We start from the raw sequence: 22,903 nt of genomic DNA, 5'->3' as shown, positions 1-22,903 counted from the left end.
GGAGCCAAACAAAGGCACCACTATCAGTAACACTTAACCTTCTAAATAGACACTGGCCTTAATTAAGGTCTTTTCACATAGGAAAAATAGGTTCTTAATCCGGTTCCAGAATGCCCAATTAGGCCAAAATACAGCATTTTGCACTTTGCACAAGTCAGCAAATCATTTCCTTTGTTATATAAATCCATCCTTAGTATACCTAAAATTTTGGGATACAGCTCAGATCTAACTCAAATGTTTTCCAAAGTAATTCACAAACACATTACTTCAGCATTTCTTCTACATTTAGGAAAACTATTTTTAAAAACCATCATTCTGTAACATTCCCTTTTCCAACTATAGCATACAGTAGGGCTCAACAAACTGTAATATACATGCCCCTGAGTAACATCCAGTAATCTCTGGAAGCCTCCATATTGTTGTATCAAGCAGGGCTGCGAGAAGAACAATTTTTCTTAGTTATTGGCTATTTTTTTCCTTTGTTTCTTAAACTTTCATTAGCAGGATCAAGGTTAATGTAGCCAAGGAGATCTTGTAGGTGGACCAAATTCTCCTCTCTTAACTTCTACTCTTCTACTCTCAGCCATACACTGTTCCAACTAAATTCAAATGGTGGAGAAATGTTTTTGCCACCTTTCCTCCTTCCCTTTCCATTTCATCTTCTTTATTTCTTTCTCCCTTTCCTTAGACAGAACATAGAAGTTCAAACATATCCCCTTTGTGTTCTGTGGGGAAGGAGTAAACGGTGTTTGCAATCAGCCCAGGATAAGAATGGGAGAAACTGAAACCAGGATAAGGGTGAGGAGAAACTGGTTAGGTTCAGCCCTGGGGTCAATGGGGGAATGGAGGTTAAGGAAGAGAAGTCACGATCTTCAGTTCTGTTTTGGCTTTCATAATAGTAACACTCTCCATTTAGGAATGCCAAAATTTCAATGTGACCAAAAGTATAACTGTGTTTAAGGTTTTTTTCTCTTTCATGGTATAGTGTATATGTGAACTGGGGGCAGGGAGAGCTGTGTCAACTCAGATACTAGAAAAGCTACTATAGTAGAGAGTTCACACATACATGGGAACACTTGCTGGAATCTGTCTTATGGCCCACCAATGTGCAACCTGGGCATGTGAAGGCACTAATGACATACGTGGCAACCCTTGCCAATGGGGTCAGGAGCCAGTGTATTAATGATCCCCATCTGAGGTGCATTACGTACAGCTTCTTAGATCTTGGCAGTTTTCAGCCCAATTGTCCATAGTGGTGACCAACTCAACATATACTCATAGAAGCTTTCTCTCCTTTCCTGTTTCATTTTCCCTAGCCCCCCACTACTGGTTCCTGAGAATCCCAGGCTCTGCTTTCTAGGGGTATCCCAGGCTAAAACAACAGAGGTGGTTACAAAGCTGAGAGAAGAAGCCTTTCTCAACAGGTAGAGTCTGCCCCTTATCCCAGTATAGAAATCTAATACTTCAAGGATCAGCATGTAGTTCTAGTATCATCTCCCACATGCATGGGCGATAAAAGAGGAGGGAGTCTATATGGCTGGGGATCCGTTACATTTCTTGAAGAGCACCTTTAAAAGTTGGGATCGGCCAGGCATGGTAGCATGTGCCTGTAGTTCCAGCTCCTCAGGAGGCTGAGGTGGGAGGATCACTACAGCCCAGGAGCTTGAGTCCAGCCTGGGCAATATCACAAGACCCCGTGTCTTTTAAAACAAAAACAACAACAACAACAACAACAACAAAACCAAACCTGGGATAAACACTTTGAAAAGAAAATCCATAGTCAAAACTCTCTCCACTCCTTTCTCCATGGAACTTTTGTAAGAATTCAAGACTGACTCTTCAATGGGGTACAATGTGCCTGAAATGATGTAAATACTAACACGCACCACCCATAACATACATCTTCTGGTATCCATCCCTACACCCAAAAAGAGGTGCATGATAGGAATAAAGAATTTTTTGAAGTCTATATGTTGCTAAATGGTTCAGGAATAGAAATGGGCTATTAGTCTTCATTCTGTAGACCAGGAAGGCAAATGCAAAAAATTTACTCACACATCATTGAATTCCTCCAGAGACCTTGCAGGTGTAAAAACGTCCAACAGACCAATCACCTGTAAGAAAATATAAAAATTAAAAAGTAAATAAATATTAAACTCAGTATAGTACCCATCAGGTCTTAATCTTCTTTTTTTTTAAAGAGTCAGGGTCTAGGCCGGGAGCAGTGGCTCACGCCTGTAATCCCAACACTTTGGGAGGCCGAGGCGGGCGGATCACCTGAAGTCAGGAGTTCGAGACCAGCCTGGCCAACATGGTAAAACCCTGTCTCTACTAAAAATACAAACATTAGCCAGGTGTGGTGGCGGGCGCCTGTAATCCCAGCTACTCGGGAGGCTGAGGCAGGAGAACTGATTGAACCTGGGAAGCGGAGGTTGCAGTGACCCGAGATTGCGCCACTGCACTCCAGCCTGGGAGAGTGCAGGTGCAGAGTGAGACTCTGTCTCAAAAAAAAAAAAAAAAGAGTCAGGATCTCACTCTTGACACACAAGCTAGAGTACAGTGACACCATCACAGTTCACTGCAGCTCAAGCAATCCTGTCTCAGCCTCCCAAGTAGCTGGGACTATAAGCACGTGCCACCACCATGCCTAGCTAATTTTTCTTTTTTTGTACAGATGTGTCTCACTAGATTGCCCAGGCTGGTCTTGACCTTCTGGCCTCAAGCGATCCTCCCACTTCAGCATCCCAAAGTGCTGGCATTACAGCAGTGAGCCACCACGGCCAGCCACGTCTCAATCATTTTAATAGGAACTAATTCAAAACCAGCTACCTCAGTTCCATAACATCACATCATATACTTAATAACTCCAACTAATTTTCTACCCAAATTATGCTTTTGTTTTCTACTTGTTAACATCAATTCTCATATTAACCCACTTTACCATTAAAAATCTTCATCTCTTTAGAATTTATTCATATGTAGTCAGTAGTTTATCAGAAGGCAAAAAGATTTAGGGTCCTTGCCTTACGTATGTACTAATGGTCTAATGAATTAATCCAACAGGTGAAAAAGGTCACACATCCATGGTTGTTACCGTAATATTGTGTTTTTTAAAAATGTATTCCACGAAAAATTTCCATATTAACTGTATATGCTTCAAAACTGACATTTTTAAAGTCTCAAAATATTCTCAGTATATTCTTGGTATTATTCTCACAAAGTCTTAATGTATAGGGTATTTAAATCAGACAATTTAAAAATGAAAAAAAAAGTCTATTTTTACACAGGGATAAAGCAAAGAGCTACTTAATACTCAATAACCCATGGTCTTTGAGCAGTTTTTCTGATCAGGAATTTATACTGATTTATCCACATACAGCACCCTCCAACCCCTACCTCCCATCTATTTTCCTTAAAACCCAGGCCATTCATTTCTACAAAGTTAGGCATTGACAAGGCAAATAAGAAATATATAATTCATTTGTAATACGCCCAGCCATATTTGAGAGTATCTGGTTATGAAGCAAGACTGTGGCCTCACTAGCACACTGTTCTAAACTGCCAACTTAAACACAAAGCTCTAGAAGTAAGATATGTTAACACTCAAAACATTATCATGAAAAAGATCTTCTAATTAGGATGTTACTCCACTCATCCAAATATCAGACTTTTTTTTTTTTCTTTGAGACAGAGTTTCGCTCCTGTTGCCCAGGCTGGAGTGCATGGCACAATCTCAGCTCACTGCAACCTCTGCCTCCTGGGTATAAGTGATTCTCCTGCCTCAGCCTCCCGAGTAGCTGGGATAACAGGCATGCACCACCACGCCCGACTCCAAATGTCACTTTTTAAAAGCAACTTTAATTTTACAGTCTGAACCTGAAAAGGAGGTGGTGGGACACATACTTGGAATTCAAGAATAGGTTTCAAGTCCTTGAAAATTGTTCCAAAGGAAATAGAATCACTTTCAGATCTTACCCAGACAACAGTACATAAGAAAACCAAAATTACCCATAATTATACCACCCATTATAACTATCATTAACATTTTGAGATATATTTCCTTTGATTTTCTGATGTACATAAATTAAATTGGGGTTACACCATGCATAGTTTTATATCCTGCCTTTTTACTTAATATTTAAATATTTGTATACAGCATATCTATCATTTGTGTATACCATAACTTAACCAATTTCCTATCTCTAGACATTTAAGGAATACTGCAAGAAAAATATATGTATTTTGCACATCTCATATTTTCTTCCAGGAAATAAATTTCAAGAAACAGAATTACAGAATCAAAGGACACCAATATATTTAAGGATCTTAATATTGTCAAATGGTCCTCCATAGAGGTAAGGCCAACTTACATGCCTCCCAATAGAGTACCTGTGACCTCATTCACAATAGTGCTTTAAATTTAAGTCAAATCCATTTCCTTTTACCTTCTCCATCTAAACCATAATCGTTTCCCTTGAGTTTGGTATACTCCTGGCTTAAGACCTCTGGTCTTTTAATCACTCTCCCTTATACCCACTTCTACTTAAGGTAACTGAGGTCTAGAAGCTAACTTTATTCACCGTTCCAATATTTTCTAATCAATGATTCTTGTTATCTGAGATGCCCATCTCCTCAAAACAATAGAAAAGTTTAAAACTATTTACATTGTTTTACAGTGTTTCCATTGTGATTGTGAAAATCCTCCTATGGAAATAAAACTAAATCATTAGAGATCTGATTTACACATGCAAGAGTTACCTCAAAAGACAAAAGTCAAAACTATTTTCAAATAAAAACTCCAATTTCAAACTGAAAACACAACAGACATTTTGGAACCAAGCAGCTGTAAGTTTGAACCCCAGTATCAGTTTGTGATTTCTTGGGTCCAAGAGCTTATAATTTCTTCATTCCAATAACGCTGGCACTTGGAATGGAGCCTGGCATTCAGCAGGAGTTCAATGAATGGCTGTTATGTAAATAATAATTGGCAAATACATTTGGTATCTTCTCTGAGTCCCATTTTCCTCATATGAAAAACATGAGGACATCATTGCTTATTTTCACAGTACTGACAGCAAGACTGAGCAGACAATGTATCTGAAGGTGCCTAGTACAAAAGGCTGACCCACTGTGGATCATCAAAATAAGTGGTGACCACAGCCCACACAGTTGAATAGACAATTACAAAATACAATATACCTAAGCAAACTATCTGAAGCAGCTACTTCCATTAACAGAATATGAGACATAAAGCTCAACTATTCAAATGATTAAAAACCATGACTGCAAGAAGAAAAATAAAGTAACCTGAAAAAAAATAGAGAAAAGCCAACTAGTAAATACCCTACCAAATTTTAATTTCCTAAAAAGGGCAATATTTACAATATTTAATGTGTTTAACATAAGCACACCGAAAATAACAATTTTGAGATTAAAACTACCCATGCTAAATCAAAGTACTTAAATTTTTGATGGGTTTTTACAAAATATCCCTCACTCCATTAATCATACTTATGAATATTAATCATAAGGAAAATACTGTAAAACAAAAGCTTATCAGCATTAAAATAGATCTGGAAAATATTTTAGGAATCTATTCATTTCTCATTTCTTTTTTTTTTTTTTAATATAATAATAGAGACTGGTTTTTGCCATGTTGCCCAGGCTGGTCTCAAACTTCTGGGTTCAAGCAATCCACCCACCTTGGCCTCCCAAAGTGCTAGGATTACAGGCATGAGCCACTGCGCCCAGCCATTTCTCATTTCTTAAATGGAAATTCCCTTCTAAATCAAGTCATATTTTAGTCTATTTCCTTAACTCCTTCTGCTGTTACATGACTTCAGTCACCTCAAAGTAACCCAGGAATCAAATTTTTAGAAAAGACATTCATAATACAAATAAGCAGCAAATATCTCTAATGATTATCCCATCATGGTCCAAAGCCTGGCAAATATTAAGTCGTATTTTTATTAAATTAGCACACATCCAAAAAAAAATACTTTAACTCAGTATCCAGAGACAATATTTAGCATATTTAACAAAAGCACACCAAAACAATCTCTTGGTCTACAATGGTAAGGTTAAATCTAAGGCTCCCAAATAAAATTTACAAAACAATTTCCTTGATCATTTTTAAATTCTAAAATGTACAGATCTCTAGGCCCATATATGGGCCATCTCTGTAGTGTCTGCCCAGACAGCAAAGGATGCAGCTGGCAGGCTGCCTCCCTTTAATCTTTCCTTAGAGCAGGTGTTAACGAGATCAAGGTCAGAAGTTCAATCAGGAATGGTCCAACTAACTTTGTTCAGAGAGAAACTCTCACAGTCACAGAGGACATCCCCTAGCTTCAGTCACTCACCTAATAAATGTTTATCTATTATTCATGATCACTAACAGAAGAGACAATTCAAGATGAACTACCGATTGTGGGTCAGAGGCATTTTTGTGTAAAAGATCACATGTGCCCTCTGGCACCTGAAAATTGTATTTGTTACCAACACCTAAAATGTTCACAAGTTTTAAGCGCCTGTTGCTGCTGCCTGTGGGAGGTTTGGCCGCTATAAAAATTGGATGGTGACCCAAAACAGTAATTTTTTAAAAAAGAAGAGGAGGGTAAACGAGATGAATTTCTCTGAAAACCCTCAATTAAACTTACCGGAAGTTTTGGTTCTTTATTGGGTAAAACTACTTTGACATTATAAGCACCTAACAAATGTTTTCAAAATAGGCTAAAATGCAGGAATTTTTCTACATTGAGTCAAGTCTTTTGGCTTCAAACATTTGCCAATGGAATAGAGAACTATGAGACATTCAGCCATGTGCCTTATTTTGTTTAAATAACAAATCACTGATATCTAGGTGACCACCAACTGTTAGAACTTAAACATCTTTATATAAAAAAAAGACTGCTAGTAAGCAAGCCACTTATAAAACAATGTATAGAAATTAAAATCCTATTTTTCTAATACCATGATCCCTAAACATTGGCTTAACATATTTATGAAGAAAAGCAAAACAATCAGTGTAGCACTGATAATCTCCTAAACCAGATGTTCTTAAATTAGCATAGCCACATCAATAGGATCCTAGTGGCTCCCAAAGGTGCTCTGGGGTTCCATAAATGTTTGGCTTGCATTTCACTTTCAAAATATCCTTTATACTTGCAAAGCTGTGACACTGTCTCTGTCACATATAATAATGTGTAATGAAAAACAGCATACACACTTAAATGTGTTAAAAATCAAACGCAAACACATCCCTTAAAGCTGCCAGGCCACTTTGATTTTATGCAGACCTAGGAATAAAGTTTCTGCTGCCAGCTTTTTCCGCATATCTCAACTTCTTGTAAACATGTCACTGATTAGGAAGGCTGCAGCTTCACACTGAACATTCTTAAAACTCTGGTTTGCACATAGCTACTTAAGTAAAATTATACTCAGGAATAGAAGTTGTCTGTAGAAATAGGATTTCCTCAATAGCATACAATCAAAATAAAATGTGAAAATAAAAAGCAGCAGCTGTGATTATAATGGCATCCATAATCCAATTACAAATTTAAGTCTTAATGTTCTCAATTTAGAAGAAATTTGCACTAATGAAACAAATGTACGCTAATGAAGAGTCACTTATCTGTGACTTTTTTCTCGCTATGAAGAAGTTAAATTACTAAAACAGTCTAAATAGTCAAATAATAAATTCACAGATTTTGAATTTTCTTCCACAAGGTAACAAGCAGTACAGCCAGAGGACTTTGAAATCTCTATGGCCATTGTTTCCACAATGCTACAAACTTCACAGTACCCTTCATATAGCAGTCACAGAAATTCATAACTTGATTTTGAAATTCAGTAAAATAAGTGTCTTCAGTCAACTGTCTTTTTACTTTCAGTTAGTATTCCAATTATATCCACTTATTTATCGTATTAGAATTTGTAAGCATCTTTGCAGAATGGCAACTGAATCAACAAATTGGTAAAAAAGAAAAAGTTATATTTAACTTAAACAATGCCTCTGACATATTTATTAAAATACGTGAATCTGGAAAAAAAGAAAAATTATTAACAAATATATAAAATAATAGCCATCTCTGATAGGACTTTCAGTGAGCCTAAGGCACTCTTTCTCAGATTTTTCCACTTAAAAATATTAAGGCTATATTATGAGAATATGGGAGTCTGTGGCTATTTTGTCTTTTAATAGCCACAGACTCCCATATTCTCATAATATAGCCTTAGGAAAACCAGGCAAAGAATACATAACTTCTTTTTAATATTTTCTCTTAAAAATTATTGTGAATTTTGTGTTGTATTTCATAACATATCCTTTAATTTTAAAATTTTAAAGAGTTCTTTCTCCTCTAAAAATCTTTGAGTAAAACTAAAACTCCAGGAAGATGCATCACTTTCATTCCAAGTCTTTGACCTGACATAACCAAGTGGCCACTAACACCCCAGGACAAGGAGCAGGGACCAACGTTTGATGCACTCCAGCGTATTTCCATCTGCAGTAATTAAAACATTTTTCCCCAGTCTATTCAAGATCAAAATGTATTCTTCCTTGAATGAATAACTTACATTTTCATGTTTCATATGTTTAAGTAACCGCAGTTCTCTGTAGGTTCTTTTCGCATGAATGATGGACTGAAATGGTCTGGAGAGCTTCTTCACTGCCACACGTAACCCCGTTTTTGTGTCAAAAGCAGCACTAAGGAGAAAAAAGGGAAAAAACCCACCATTAAAAAGCTGTTCTAAATATTATTTTGGGGTATTTATAAGGCTATTTCCAAATTAAAGGGTCTATAACAAAATACCAAAAAAAAGCATAAAGATAAAAAGCAAAATGACCTATTATCCCATTATCCAAATAAAGCTTCTGTTATTATTTTTGGTGTTTTCTCCTTGTCTTTTCTATGTATCTAAATCAGAAGTCAGCAAATTTTTTTCAATGAAGGGCCAGATAGTAATATTTTCAACTTTGTAAGTAAGACCTCTGTCACAACTACTCAACTCTGTGGTTGTATGAGGAAAGCAGCCAGAAAATAAGTTTTAAAATGGGTGTGGCTGTGTTCTAATAAAATTTACAAAAACTGGCAGCTGCCTGATCTAGATGAGCCAACAGATTAATAAACAGAGTTGAATTCTGTCTTCCCTGCCTAGGCCTCACTGTCGTCACCTTGCCACATCTGCTGCCTGCTCAGAGTCGAGGCCCAGGAAACCATGTTTTCAGGACAATAAATTGCCACAAATATTTCTTGAGCACCTACAAAGTACTTGGCACCTTCAGGGAATGGGGGAAGAGCAGAACAGAATAATAAAATAATTTCAAGTAGTGATGAAAATACTATGACTAAATAAAAGGGTAATGGGATAAAGAGTGACAGAAAGCCAGTGGAGTTATACCACTTTAGCTAGGATGGCTGAGGAATGACATCTGAGCTGAGAAGGAAACAATATAATGATTAAATTCCCTATATAAATATATAAGAAAAAGAGCTTCAAGCAGAAGAAATAATAATAATATTAATGTTTATAGAGTCTTTACCCACACATACAAGAAATTGTTCTAAGCCCTTTACATTTATTTGTCTCAATTCAGCTTTTGTATTTCCCCGAATCCCCTATGAAATAAGTACTATTATCATTCTCCCACTTACAAGTAAGAAACTGAAGCAGAGAGAAGTTAGGTAACTTGACCACGGTCACAAAGCTTAAAAGCGGCAGAGCAGGGAGTCTGGATCCAGAGCTTATGCTACTGACCACTTGACTCTGCTATCTCTCAGAAGAGCAAGTGCAAACAAACGAAAAAAGAAACAGAGGTAGGAAACGTATGGCATGCTGGAGTGAGTGACAGAAAGACAGAAAGGCTGTGTGGGTAGAGCACAGGGAGCAAGGGGAGAGTGGGAAGGGATGACGTAAGAGATGCAGGCAGCAGCTAGATCATGGAGGACATCTATAGCAAAAATGCGATGTGTATTTTAATTATTTTTAGAAATCGTCGCCAGGCACAGTGGCTCATGCCTGTAATCCAGCACCTTGGGAGGCCGAGGCGGGAGGATCACGAGGTCAGGAGCTCGAGACCAGTCTGACCAAGATGGTGAAACCCCATCTCTACTAAAAATACAAAATTAGGCGCAGTGGCAGGTGCCTGTAATCCCAGCTACTCAGGAGGCTGAGGCAGGAGAATCACTTGATCCCAGGAGGCGGAGGTTGCAGTGAGCTGAGATTGCACCATCGCACTCCAGCCTGGCAATAAGAGTGAAACTCGGTCTCAAAAAAAAAAAAAAATAGTAATAACAGAAATTGTCTGGGCCAGTTCCATTATGCCTCATCCTCCAGTTTGTCTCAGTCTCTAACATGTATCCAAGACTTTCTGGTCATCTGTTATCACCAAACTCTCTGCCTGCCAAACTTGCTTTTACAACTCTGTACCTACTCCAGTGCCCTTCCTTTCACTCCCAAACTTTTATGGCATACCCTCAATCTTCAAATCCCAATTTGTGATAAACTCCTATAAATCTTCAACCTCTTTTCTGAACCTCCCCTCCATCTCTGAAACTAGGCCATTTCTAGAAGACACTGCTTCTCTTATAGCCCTGCCATTAGAAAGCATTCTCTAATAGCCCAGATACCTCCTGGCTAGCAGGTGCGTAGGAGTCTTCCTTGGCAGCCGTTACCACTTCAGGACCATTACTTTCCGTTTGTTCTATAAAATACCTCCTGCTCACAACCCTGATAAACTATCCCTCTCTGCTGCAGGTATCCACTGACCTGAAATTTTCCATCATTCATTGAAAAGTTAGTTTCTATCCAGAAGATCTCTCTACACTCTCAACTTCTGTCATCATTCTTGGCAACTTCAACATCCAGGTGAACGGCACACCCAACATCCTGTTTCCTGACCTCTCTAGGAAACTCCACCACACCCAGCCATCTTCATGGTCACATTCTAGACCTTTATTCCTACCAAAAACTGCCCCACCTACAAAATTTTGAATGCCAGCAGCATTTGCTTTTCATCAAAAACCTAGTTACCTCTAGTTTACTTGTACCCTGACTACAACAATTTGTTAACCTCATTGTCATTGCTTGTTTCTATCCTTCAGCCCTCTTCTGTCTTCATCTCCCTTCCTGTTCCATGATTATAATCACTCCCTTGCACTTCTCTCTCTCTGTCTGTCTGTCTCTCTGATGTACTCACCTGGATAAAGTCTAACCTTGGGTAATCTCAACCACTTAATTCTCCATGACTGAATCCAAGGAACTGAGGTTGAACAAGAAAGACTGTAGAATCAGATTTTCATTCTTAGTTTCTGACCTTAATCTCAAAGAGGCTCTCAATAAAGCCATTTTCTTCTAGTAAGTTCATTTTCCTACTCGAAAATGATCGTTTGACATGTTCTCTCTCAAATCTCCAATTCACCCTCTTCCCTCAAGAGTTGCCCTTGCCTTCACTGAGAAAACAGAAACCATCAGGAGGGGAGCTCCATTTGCTTAGCCCCAAATCTATAAACCCATCGTCTCCACCTTCCCTCTTGCTATAACTAAGAATATGCCCCTGCTTATCAAAATTCAAGACCACAATACATGCTTTGGAGCCACCTCCCTCATCTTCTCAAGGATTTCACTTCTTCATTCCTCTTCTCTCTTGCATCATCAGTGTCTCCCTATCTACTGGACCATTCTCATCAGCATAAATTTGCTCTACTTGTTTACCGCCTTCAGCCAACAAACAAAAGACTTCCCTTAACAGTTCTCCATCACAGTTAAAATTCTCCAAAAAAGTCACCTACACCAGAGGTTCCCAGATCAGCAGCATCAGTTTCACCTGGGAATTTATAAGAAATGAAAATTCTCAGGTACCACCCCAGAGTTAATGGAATAAGAAACTTTGAAGTGGGTCTAATAATCTGTATTTTATCAAGCTCTCCATGTTATTCTAATACATATTACAGTTTGAGAACCACTAATTTATACCTTTGCTATTCAAAGTGTGCTCCATGGACCGGCAGCATTGACATTATCTGGGAGCTCATTAGAAAATGCAGGATCTCTGCAGACAACAGGAAAGGAAAAAAGAAAAGAAAGGAAAAGGAAAGGAAAGGAGATCTTGGGCCCTAAAATAGAATTTACTTTTTGACAAGATTTCCAGGTGATTAATATACCTCTTAAGGTGTGAGAAGCACACATCTACACAACTGACTCATTTCAATCCCATTCTTTCCTCAATCCAATTCCACTGAAACTGCTCTTCTCAAGGTCATTAATGACCTCTGCTACCAAATCCACTTTTCTAAGATTAGTAATTGACATAGTCACCACTTTCTCTAAATACTGTCCATCCTGGAGTCTATATCAACACTTCCATTGGTTTTCTATGACCCCTCTGGCAGCTCCATCTCTGTCTCCACTGCATGTGCTGCTTCTACTCAAACTCTGTATGTTGGAGTTCTTCAGGACTTGGTACTGGGCCCTCTTCTCTCTCCCACATTCTCTTTCTAGATAATCTCATCTATGCCCATGACTTTAAATTAAATGCCATCTATATATTGAAAACTCCCAAATTTATGTCTCTCACTGAAATCTCTTCTCTGAGCCCTGATGTCTCCATAAGAAAGACACATAAGCACCTGAAGCGTACCAAGTTCAAAACACCCAGAACTATTCTTCTCCATGGCTCTGTTATCTCAATAAATGGACTGTTCATCCAGTTGCTCGAGCTAGACATTTGATTGTCATCCTTGATTTCTCCCTTTCCTCAGTCCTCATTCAAATCTATTGGCAAGTCTCATGGTTTTCACCTCCAAAAGACGTCTCAAAGTCAACTGCTCTTCATTTCACCAATATCATATTAGTCCATGTCACTGGCCTACCTCCTTCTAATATGCTTTCCAAATGCATCCAATACAGTCTTTTAAAAATATAAATTATGCCAGGCACAATGGCTCAAGCCTGTAATCCTAGCACTTTGGGAGGCCAGGGCAGGAGGATTGCTTGAGCCCAGAAGTTTGAGATCAGCCTGAGCAACATAGCAAGACCCTGTCTCTGCAAAAAATAAAAAACGGGTTGGGTGCAGTGGCTCACGCCTGTAATCCCAGCACTTTGTGAGGCCAAGGCGGGTGGATCACTTGAGGTCAGGAGTTCAATACCAGTCTGGCCAACATGGTGAAACCCGTCTCTACTAAAAAAATATAAAAATTAGTGGGGTGTGGTGGCACACACTTGTAACCCCAGCTACTTGAGAGTCTGAGGTGGGAGGATCACTTGAATCCAGGAGGTGGAGGTTGCACTGAGCCGAGATTGCATCACTGCACTCAAGCCTTAGCAACAGAGTGAGACTCTGTCTCAAAAAAATAATAATAAATAAATTAAAAATTAGGCAGCCAGGCGCAGTGGCTCACGCCTATAATCCCAGCACTTTGGGAGGCTAAGGTTAGGAGTTTGAGACCAGCCTGGCCAACATGGTGAAACCCCATCTCTACTAAAAATATATATTTAAAAAAATTAGCTGGGTGTGGTGGCAGGCACCTGTAATCCCAGCTACTCGGGAGGCTGAGGCAGGAGAATTGCTTGAACCAGGGAGGTGGAGGTTGCAGTGAGCTGAGATCATGCCATTGCACTCCAGCCTGGGCAACAAGAGCAAAACTTCATCTCAAAAAAAAAAAAAAAATTAGTCAGGCATGGGCCACCATGCCCAGCTACTTGGGAGGCTGAGGCAGGAAGATTGCTTGAGCCCAGGAAGGCTGAAGCTGCTCAACCTTGTTGTGGTGCGCCATGATGGCACCACTGCACTCTAGCCTGGAAGATACAGTGAGACTGTCTCAAAAATGAAAAATAAAAAATAGCAATAAAAGTACAAATTAGATCACAACACTCCCCTCCTTCAAACCATTCAAGGAATCTCCTTGGCATACAGAGTAAAATGCAAATTTCTCATGATGGCCTACAAGGCCCAGGTGATCTGGTCACCACTGATTATTCCACCTGTTCCTGTGCTACTCTTTCCCTCTCTCTCAGCTGCTATGTTCTGCTAGCTCCTTTCAGTTCTTTTAACTATTCAGACAGGCTGCTCCTGGTTCCTAGGATTTTCTTCTCCTCCGCCCCCATCCCACCCCATAGCTAAATCCTTATCCTTCAAGTATTGGTTTAAATAGTCACCTGCTCAGGAACCTGTTAGGGACCTCTAAGAAGCCATTACTCTGTCACAACACCCTCACTGACTCCTTCCTTATCTCACATAAAAGAGGGTGGTGGTTCTCTTCTTTTCCACTCCCATTGCTCCTACAAACCCATAAATTAGTAACTTCTTCCCTCTCAAAAGTAGCAAGTAAATGTATACTCATCTCTAAACCCAGTTCTCTAAACTAGCTCTGGTGAGACTGGAAAAATGGCCATTGCCCCTGTGGGACCCAGCTTCTTCAACTTCCCACCTCAGAGTTTGCCTTCCACCTGCAAGCTGAACACTTTCTTCTCTCCTCCATTGGTAAGCCTGCTGGGGAGCAAGGAACAGCAGCAGTTTTCTAGCTGATCTGACTGATTAAGTGTGCAAGTTCAATTAACTGGGGAAGAAATAAGAAGCCCACTTGAGTTGCCCGCCCAAGGCACTCTGCATGCCAGCTTTACTAATAAAAGTAAATATTTTTATCTCTATTTGACTCCTGAATCTATTCAGCAAAAGGCAGGCTAGAATTAATCAGTACCCTATAGACCCCAACAATCACAATTTATTATTACATGTTTATAATACTCCAACAGAGTGATTAAATAAGAGCTGGGACTTTGGAATTAGACTATCTGGATTTTAATTCCAGTTCTGCCACTTAATAGCTATATAATCTTGAGGATGTTAATTAAATTCTTTCATGAAATGAGAATTATGTTTATATTTCATCTGTTGGATATGTTAGGATTAAATGTAATAACTTTTATAGTAGGTTTGGCAAGGAGCTTGGTCCATGGCAAAGCTCAAATACGCCTCTCAATCACATCTGTAAAAGTAGAGCTACAAGTAAAACCTTGTTTTCATGAACAACATCATAAAATGAAATTATCTTTATGATAAACAGGTTCTCCAAACTAAAATTCAGGACATACTGTTTAACAAGTTTTTCCCCCAATTGTGAATTTACATGAACTTTTCCAAAATTATCAAATTAATTCACATTTTATAAAATCATTGGTATAGTAAAAAATAACTGAAAGAAATATAAAAATTAGAAGCAGTTATTACAATATTAGGATGTCATTCTCACTCATCTACTGCTGACCGTGAATCCAGTACATAACACACAAGGATAATCATTAAATAAACTTCAATGTTTTGTTACACATTCATACTTGCCTCCCCTTGTGTCACACACACATAGAAAATGTGGGTTACTAGATTCTTCATATATCCTAATATAATTCTGTTTAACTTCTAAATTTATTGATGTATACCTTCCTTTATTCACAATGGATTTAAAGCAGACTGGAATTATATATATAAAACCTGACAAAATGGTAAGTGATTAAGGGAAAATAAGAAAGTCTGTACAGCTGAGGTTAGCATATATCATGAGGTCCTTTCTTTCTTTTTTTTTTTTTTTTTTTTTTTTTGAGACAGAGTCTTGCTGTGTCACCCAGGCTGGAGTGCAGTGGCGCGATCTCGGCTCACTGCAAGCACCGCCTCCCGGGTTCACGCCATTCTCCTGCCTCAGCCTCCCCAGCAGCTGGGACTACAGGTGCATGCCACCACACCCAGCTAGTTTTTTTGTATTTTTAGTAGAGATGGGGTTTCACCGTGTTAGCCAGGATGGTCTCGATCTCCTGATCTCGTGATCCGCCCACCTCAGCCTCCCAAAGGGCTGGGATTACAGGCGTGAGCCACCACACCCGGCCAGAGGTCCTTTTTAAATACCCATTAGAGGTAGGCCTCAAATTTGGCTCAAAGCTCACTAAAGCCATTAACAAAGAGAACAGAATCAGTTAGGACATGAATCACAGAAGCCATACAATAAAAACCAACCAGGTACTCAGGAGAGCTGAAGAGAGGCATAATTATTCCTGTAATAAACCAGGGAAAAGTTCATTCTGTGTCTGTTCAAGAAGGAGACATATAATGTGGTAAAAATGTCCTAATCAACATCTTTAAAAGAATATAATAGTGGGTTTCAGATGGTTTTCTTTTTAGAGCATCCATCAGTACAGATTGCTGTCGTAAGGCCAAAATACAGTTCATTATTAGCAAAGAGGGTAGGAGTACAAAATATTACGGTGTTGCTTTTTTTTTTTTTCTTTAAGGTCTCACTCTGTCATCCAGGCTGGAGTGGAGTCATGTAATCATGGCTCACTGCAGCCTCAACCTCCTGGCCTCAAGCAATCCTCCAACCTTAGCCTCCTGGGTAGCCAGGACTACAGGCATGTGCCACCAAGCTTCGCTAATTATTTTGATTTTTGTAGACACAGGGTCCCACTATGTTCCCTAGGCTGGTCTTGAACTCCTAGGCTAAGTGATCCTCCTGCCTTGGACTCCCAATAAGTACAGGGGTTACAGGCATGAGCCACCATACCTGGCCTCTCTGACAGACTTAATCCAAGAGGAAATCTTAAATACATTTAGAAAAACAGATAAGCTCCATATTCTTCAGACAATCCTCCAAAGATGACTGGAGCTATCAATGAGCTTTTTGTTTATTATTTTTAAAATTTTCTTTTGTAGAGATGGGGCCTTGCTTGTTGCCCAGGCTGGTCTCGAACTCCTGGCCTCAGGCGATCCTCCCACCTCAGCCTCTCAAAGTGTTTGGGTTACAGGCATGAGCCACCATGTTCGGCTGTCAACTGAGCTTTTGATAGGTATAGAGATATAGGGAACTTGTGTTTATATTCCATGATGGGCACCTGACTTGTAGATTTTCTGTTATAAGGTAATGGCAGATCAATAAATTTAACATCAGCTGAGTAGAGAAAGGGAGACAACCTCTTAAGAAAGGTAAGGTGCTGGACAAGTGCCCATGTCCACAGAGTATTAAAGTACAAACGACTGCACCATGATTTTCCTCAAAAAACAATCTGTGTTTTCATCAACAGAATATGAAGAATGAGTAATCACTCAGCAAGTCTTTGAGTAATTTGTGGGGATCGTAAGTGATTTTACAATTTCTTTCAATGGTCATAGATGACTTCTAAGAAGATAAACACAATTTGGTTTACTTTTGGAAGTTAATGGAAATATTTAAATATATTGAAATCTGTAGTTACACTGAATTAGCAAAGTCTCATTAATACATTAAATTCATTAGAATATCTATAAAGTGAGGGCCGGGTGCGGTGGCTCACGACTGTAATCCCAGAACTTTGGGAGGCCGAGGTGGGCAGATCACCTGAGGTTGGGTATTCGCGACCAGCCTGACCAACATGGAGAAATCCCGTCTCTACTAAAAATACAAAATTAGCCAGGTGTGGTGGTGCATGCCTATAATCTCAGCTACTTGGGAGGCTGACACAGGAGAATCGCTTGAACCCGGGAGGTAGAGGTTGTGGTGAGCTGAGATTGTGCCATTGCACTCCAGCCTGGGCAACAAGAGCGAAACTCCATCTCAAAAAAAAAAAAAAAAAAAAAAAGAAAGAAAAAGAAAAAAGAATATCTATAAAGTGAGAAGAAATAATTTGCAAAAACATGACACCTCTTCTCCGGATCATACAATTTCAGGCTTTTTTTCCAACTGAATCAGGATAATTAATAATAGTCTTCAAAACTTGCCTTCTAAATAACTAAATAATTAAGACCACTAACTTGGAACTTTCTCTTTACCTGTAGCACCTGGAACAAATTTCAATAAATGACATACTGGAAATATTTTTCTGCACATGTTACATTCTATTACAGAAGCCTAGCTTTTCTTCCTTCCATATTCAAGTAAATGTGCAAATATCACTGTTGCTCTGAAGCGGATGCTCTGTCCTGCCATTTTGGAAATAACGTCTTGAAAATAAAGGCAACTTTATGCAAAAATTGGAACTTAAGTTTTGATTTAGGAACCTCAAAAAATATTCTTCAAACCTAGTGAAATAGAAAAATTAAAATTATATACATTTATCTTCTTCAGAGTAGCAGGAGATTTAAGATTGACTTTAAAAACTCAAAATTTAAAACATTAGCTTTAATATCTTCGCTAACTCTCAAATATCTTGTTTTAATGTCAACACAACAGTATTTATTTAATCACAAAACAATTTCACCACTGTAATTACATATATAGTATTTTTTAATGAAACTTACTTTCATTTTTAATTTTTTTTTTTGAGACGGGGTCTTGCTCTGTTGCCCAGGCTAGAGTGTGGTGGCATGATCACGGCTCAATGCAGCTTTGACTTCCCAGGCCCCAACAAACCTCCCACCTCAGCTTCCCGAGTAGCTGCTACTACTGAGGCACACCACGACGCCTGGCTAATTTTTTTATATTTTTGGTAGAGACAAAGTTTCACCATGTTGCCCAGGCTGGTTTAGAAATCCTGAGCTCCTGAGCTCAAGTAATTCACCTGCCTCAGCCTGCCAAAGTGCTGGGATTGCAGGCACGAGCCTGCAAGTTCCAAATGAAAGTAGAATGATTTTATAAGATGTTTCCTGCTAGGTGCGGTGGCTCACACCTGTAATCCTAGCACTTCGGAAGTCTGAGGCAGGAGGAAGCTTGAGCTCAGGAGTTCAAGACCAGCCTGGGCAACTTCATGACATAGTGAGACCTCGTGTCTACGAAAAAAAAAAAAAATTAGGTGGGCATGGCGGCACACACCTGTAGTCTCAGCTACTTTGGGTGGCTGAGGTAGGAAGATCACTTGAACTCAGGAGTTCAAGGCTGCAGTGAGCCATTGACTGCGTAACTACACTTCCACCCAGGTGACAGAGCAAAACCCTGTCCCCCAACCCAGCCAAAAAAAAAAAAAAAAAAAAAGATATTCCTTCACTGAAGCTTTAAAAGCTGATTGTTTATGACCTCAAGGAACTAAGAAATCTAGCCGAGGAGTCAAAATGAACAGAGGCACACATAAATTTACCAGACTTTGACAAAGCAATACATTTGTTTCCTCTAATCCATTCTTTACACTCCACCAAGACCAATTTTAAAACAATTTTCCTCCACAGTTCACAACTCAAGAAACTCCAACAGCTCTCTACTACCTAAAGAACCATTTGTAGACTTTTTAGAAATGCAACTGCCTAAGTCCCACTCCAGATCTCATTCTTAATTTCCAGAGGTATGTTTAAAAGTTCCACAAGTGAGTCTGAAGCACAACAAGAATGAGAACCACAACTGGGTTCACCCTACCTGAGATGTTCCTCCTGTCAGAACAGTCCTTTTCATATCTATTCTCTTGGTTTATGTTTTCTCTTGTCTGAAAATGTTTCCTTTTCTTCTCTCCAAATACCCATCTTTCTAAATAATCTTCAAATCCTTTCTGCTCCATAAAACCATACTGACCACTATAACTCACAATGTCTCCACTTCTCTGTACACATCAATACCTTCATACATATATACACAATTTATTAATATTTTAGGTCTATTTCTTTTACACATTGGTGGGCATTTAACACTGATGGACGACTGGCAAATTTCCTTCACTACAGTAAATCTAAAATATAAGCATCAATATTTATACCTATATATTTCAAACTTTCAAAATTATGTTGCATTAATACCTAGAGTTATTGAAAACTTCAGGTAAATTGGTTCATTCCTGATTGTAATTTTTATAACTACTGTCAGTCATCAGTGCTAATGATGACATCCGCTTCACATATCTAAACTGAACCATTCAAGCTTGTAACATGAATCCCATTCCAACGGAAGTTAGTGCTACATCTCTGGTATCTTCAAGAAGTGTGTAGGAAAGTAATCAAGGAAAAGCATGAAACATTACATCTCAATAGATTTAGAATCCAAAGGATCAGTCATTCTTGAGATTAGGTTTGAAAGTACAAATTTGGAAGGATAGTATATGAACAAGACCATTGTTGAGACTATCAGATAATGAATTCAAAAAGAATATGCACAGAAAGAGAAAAGAAAATTTAAGAATGGATCATGGAGCAGAAAGAAAAGAGGAAGAAAAAACTGACCAATGGATGAAATAGGAGAATTAGAGAAACACAAGGAAAAATCTGAATAGCAGAGTACTTTAAGGTGGTGTTTAAAAAAAAAAAAAAGAGCACAATAAATGTTAAGATGTATACATTGTGACACTAAAGTTAGTTACTGCCTCACACCCTTAAAGTAATTAAAGCAGTAGCAATGATAATTCAGGAAAATGCATTGTATCTTCTAAGGTACCAGAATACATAATGTGCCTAAATGACATTCTAAATCAAAGAAGGCTGATCTTCCTGAGTTACTGCTACCTGAGATCCACAAGATCTTCAAAATTTCAGTCTGTTATTACCTAATATTTTTAAAACTAAGCAAGCCTTCCCAGATGCAAGAACCTTCAAAAACATACAGAAAATTAATTCACAATGTACTACTTCTTGCTCCTTAGTTTATGTGCAGCTCTCTTTGTGGTCTTCTAAACAGCATTTTATTTCTAGGAGTTTGAAAACGCTAAATACTGAAAGAAGACAGGAGAGAAAGGACACAGAATACCAGAAGAGACACTAGGGAAAATGCTACCTACCTACCAACTTGGACTTCATGCTAATTTCCTTTCCAGAAAAAATTCAAAACACCCTAAGTTGGGGCCATGACAATGACAAAACACAATTATTCATGAAAATTGGGTCTCCCTCACTAATTAGTTGTTTCTCAAATGTGCCAGTGATACACCTGGCCTCTTGCAAACATGCTTGTGCAAGTTCTCCCATCCATTAAGCTTATTGGGTTATAGCTAGGACCTTGACCATTAGAAATGCTGTTACTCTCCTAGAAATAACAAAAATCATGTTTAGAGAGGCCCAATTTATAATGCAGAAAGTATAGCATTTCTGCCTTTTTGCAGGTGGAAGGTTCATGTTATCCCATCTAGTTTTTACTCAATCAAATATACAGGGTTATCAATCCAAATATATAGGGTTATATAAGTGGTTCTCAACTAAAGGTGATTTTGCCCTCCCTACCCGTCAAGAGATATGTGGCAATGTCTAGACATTTTTGGTTGTCACAACTGGGAATTGCTATTAGTATACAGTGAGTTGGAGACAGGGATGCTGCTAAACATACTACACTGCACAGGTCAGTCCCCCACAACAAAACATTATCCCACCTAAAGTGTCAATAGGTTGAATTACCCTGGGTTATACAGGTTGAGTATCCCTAATCTGAAAATCCAAAACCTAAAATGCTTCAAGATCCAAAACTACAGAGGACTTCCAAAGCCATCTATGAGGAAACATAAATATGTCTCCTCTGGACTGATACTTTCTTTTTTTTTTTTTTTTTGAGACTGAGTCTTGCTCTATCGCCCAGACAGGAGTGCAGGGGAGTGATCTCGGCTCACTGCAACCTCCGCCTCCCGGGTTCAAGTGATTCTTGTGCCTCAGCCTCCTGAATAGCTGGGATTACAGGCACACACCACCATGCCCAACTAATTTTTGTAGAGATGGGGTTTCACCATGTTGGCCAGGCTGATCTCAAACTCCTGACCTCAAGTGATCCGCCCACCTTGGCCTCCCAAAGTGCTGGGATTACAGGCGTGAGCCACTGCACCCAGCCTGGACTGATACTTTCGAAAGGAGGGACCCTTCTTTTTTTTAAAATCTCTGTAAACAAAATATCTAGTATAGTGCACTGGAAATATTAAATTAATGAACTTACGAAAACAAAGAACAAAACTGGTATGCTTTTTTTCTTCACATGCTCAGATTGTGTGGTGTCTACATTTTAAGCCATAAGTTTGAAAATGCAATCAATACACACTTTTGAGTAGAATGACAGTAAGACACACATACTCACACACACACACACCTTCCTTCATATCACAGGCACAGTGACAATATCACCAAGGCCTAAGAGAAGTAAGTTTTGAGGAAAATAAGGAATTTGTAACCACATATTCAAATAACAGGAGCCAACATGTTCAGGGTCTAATGGTACTCAGACAGCAGGTCTAGACAAAATAAACATTTGTTCTATTACCTTTTTGTTATGTTGCCATGGGAATCTATGTTTGCAGGAAAACTTATTTTCTGCAACCTGATGATAGAGCAGTAAAAGAGGGGGAGCTCTGATGAAAAGAGGAGAGGGGTTTACATCTGTAAAGGCAGGGAGGACAATAAATAATATGGGTTTTTATAGGATCACATGTCTGTAGATAATCTTTCAATCTATATGATATATTTAAGTTTAACAGAGAAGTCCTTGGGGCCTCAAAGCTAAGACATTAATGACAGATAACAATGGTCTAACCTCTACTAAAAGTATTATAATGGGGAAAAGGCAGAGGAATGTAAAGCAGAAAAAGGGTCAAATAAAATCAAATAAAACTTAAATGTTTAACTGTTGAAAGAAGGTAAAAATGACTTTTAAAACATGATCCAAAAGTAAGAAAAACCCTAAAAGCCAAAGAAGTTAAAAAACACTCAATCTGCCAGCAGACTAATCTTCCTTTTTCAGCTAAACTCAAGAGCTAATCTCTGCTCCTTCCTTTTGGCAACAAAAACCTGAAAAAGTAAAGTCAGCCCATGTTATTTAAAGAGCTGGACTGGAATACCCTAAATTTCTAGGGCCCAACAAAAATACTGGCTCTGGCACTCTGGGACTGCTGGAATGAGAGTTGTGAGCATGGGTCAGGGCTTGCACCAATTCATCTAACTCCACCGTTCTATCCTATTCACAGTAGTGGTTTAGGGTAGAATGGGTAAGGAACCGAAACGAAAAACTTGGGACCCTAGAGCACAGTAATCTGTTAAAACAAGATTTAGGTCATGTCCTTCCTC

The 22,903-nt window shown here is 38.8% G+C and overlaps 1 protein-coding gene across 18 annotated transcripts in view, besides 1 other annotated feature; it reads right to left on the bottom strand.

Annotated features, from left to right (window-relative positions):
* The window catches only part of MAPK14 (mitogen-activated protein kinase 14), a 96,407-nt gene that overhangs the window by 62,812 nt on the left and 10,692 nt on the right, over positions 1 to 22,903 (bottom strand). For all 18 annotated transcript variants that reach the window (XR_007059209.1, XR_007059210.1, XR_007059211.1 and 15 more), the window contains exons 2-3: positions 8,575 to 8,704; positions 2,056 to 2,114 (exon numbers count right to left, since the gene is read on the bottom strand). Coding sequence is in view for 14 of the 18 variants with exons in the window: in XM_017010299.3 (XP_016865788.1) it covers positions 2,056 to 2,114; positions 8,575 to 8,704 (189 nt within the window). In the remaining 4 variants the exon portion in view is untranslated. The remainder of the gene's footprint in view (positions 1 to 2,055; positions 2,115 to 8,574; positions 8,705 to 22,903) is intronic.
* Positions 22,733 to 22,782: a silencer, noted in NCBI's record as "silent region_17105". NCBI's record gives its function as "represses an Ori minimal core promoter by ATAC-STARR-seq in GM12878 lymphoblastoid cells {active_cell/tissue: GM12878}" and the evidence as "EXISTENCE:reporter gene assay evidence [ECO:0000049][PMID:35858748]".

This window comes from Homo sapiens, chromosome 6 (genome assembly GCF_000001405.40).
Source record: "Homo sapiens chromosome 6, GRCh38.p14 Primary Assembly".
Classification (NCBI taxonomy): Eukaryota; Metazoa; Chordata; class Mammalia; order Primates; family Hominidae; genus Homo; species Homo sapiens.
The sequence above is the reverse complement of the archived record's forward strand: the minus strand, read 5'-3'. Positions and strand labels throughout refer to the sequence as shown.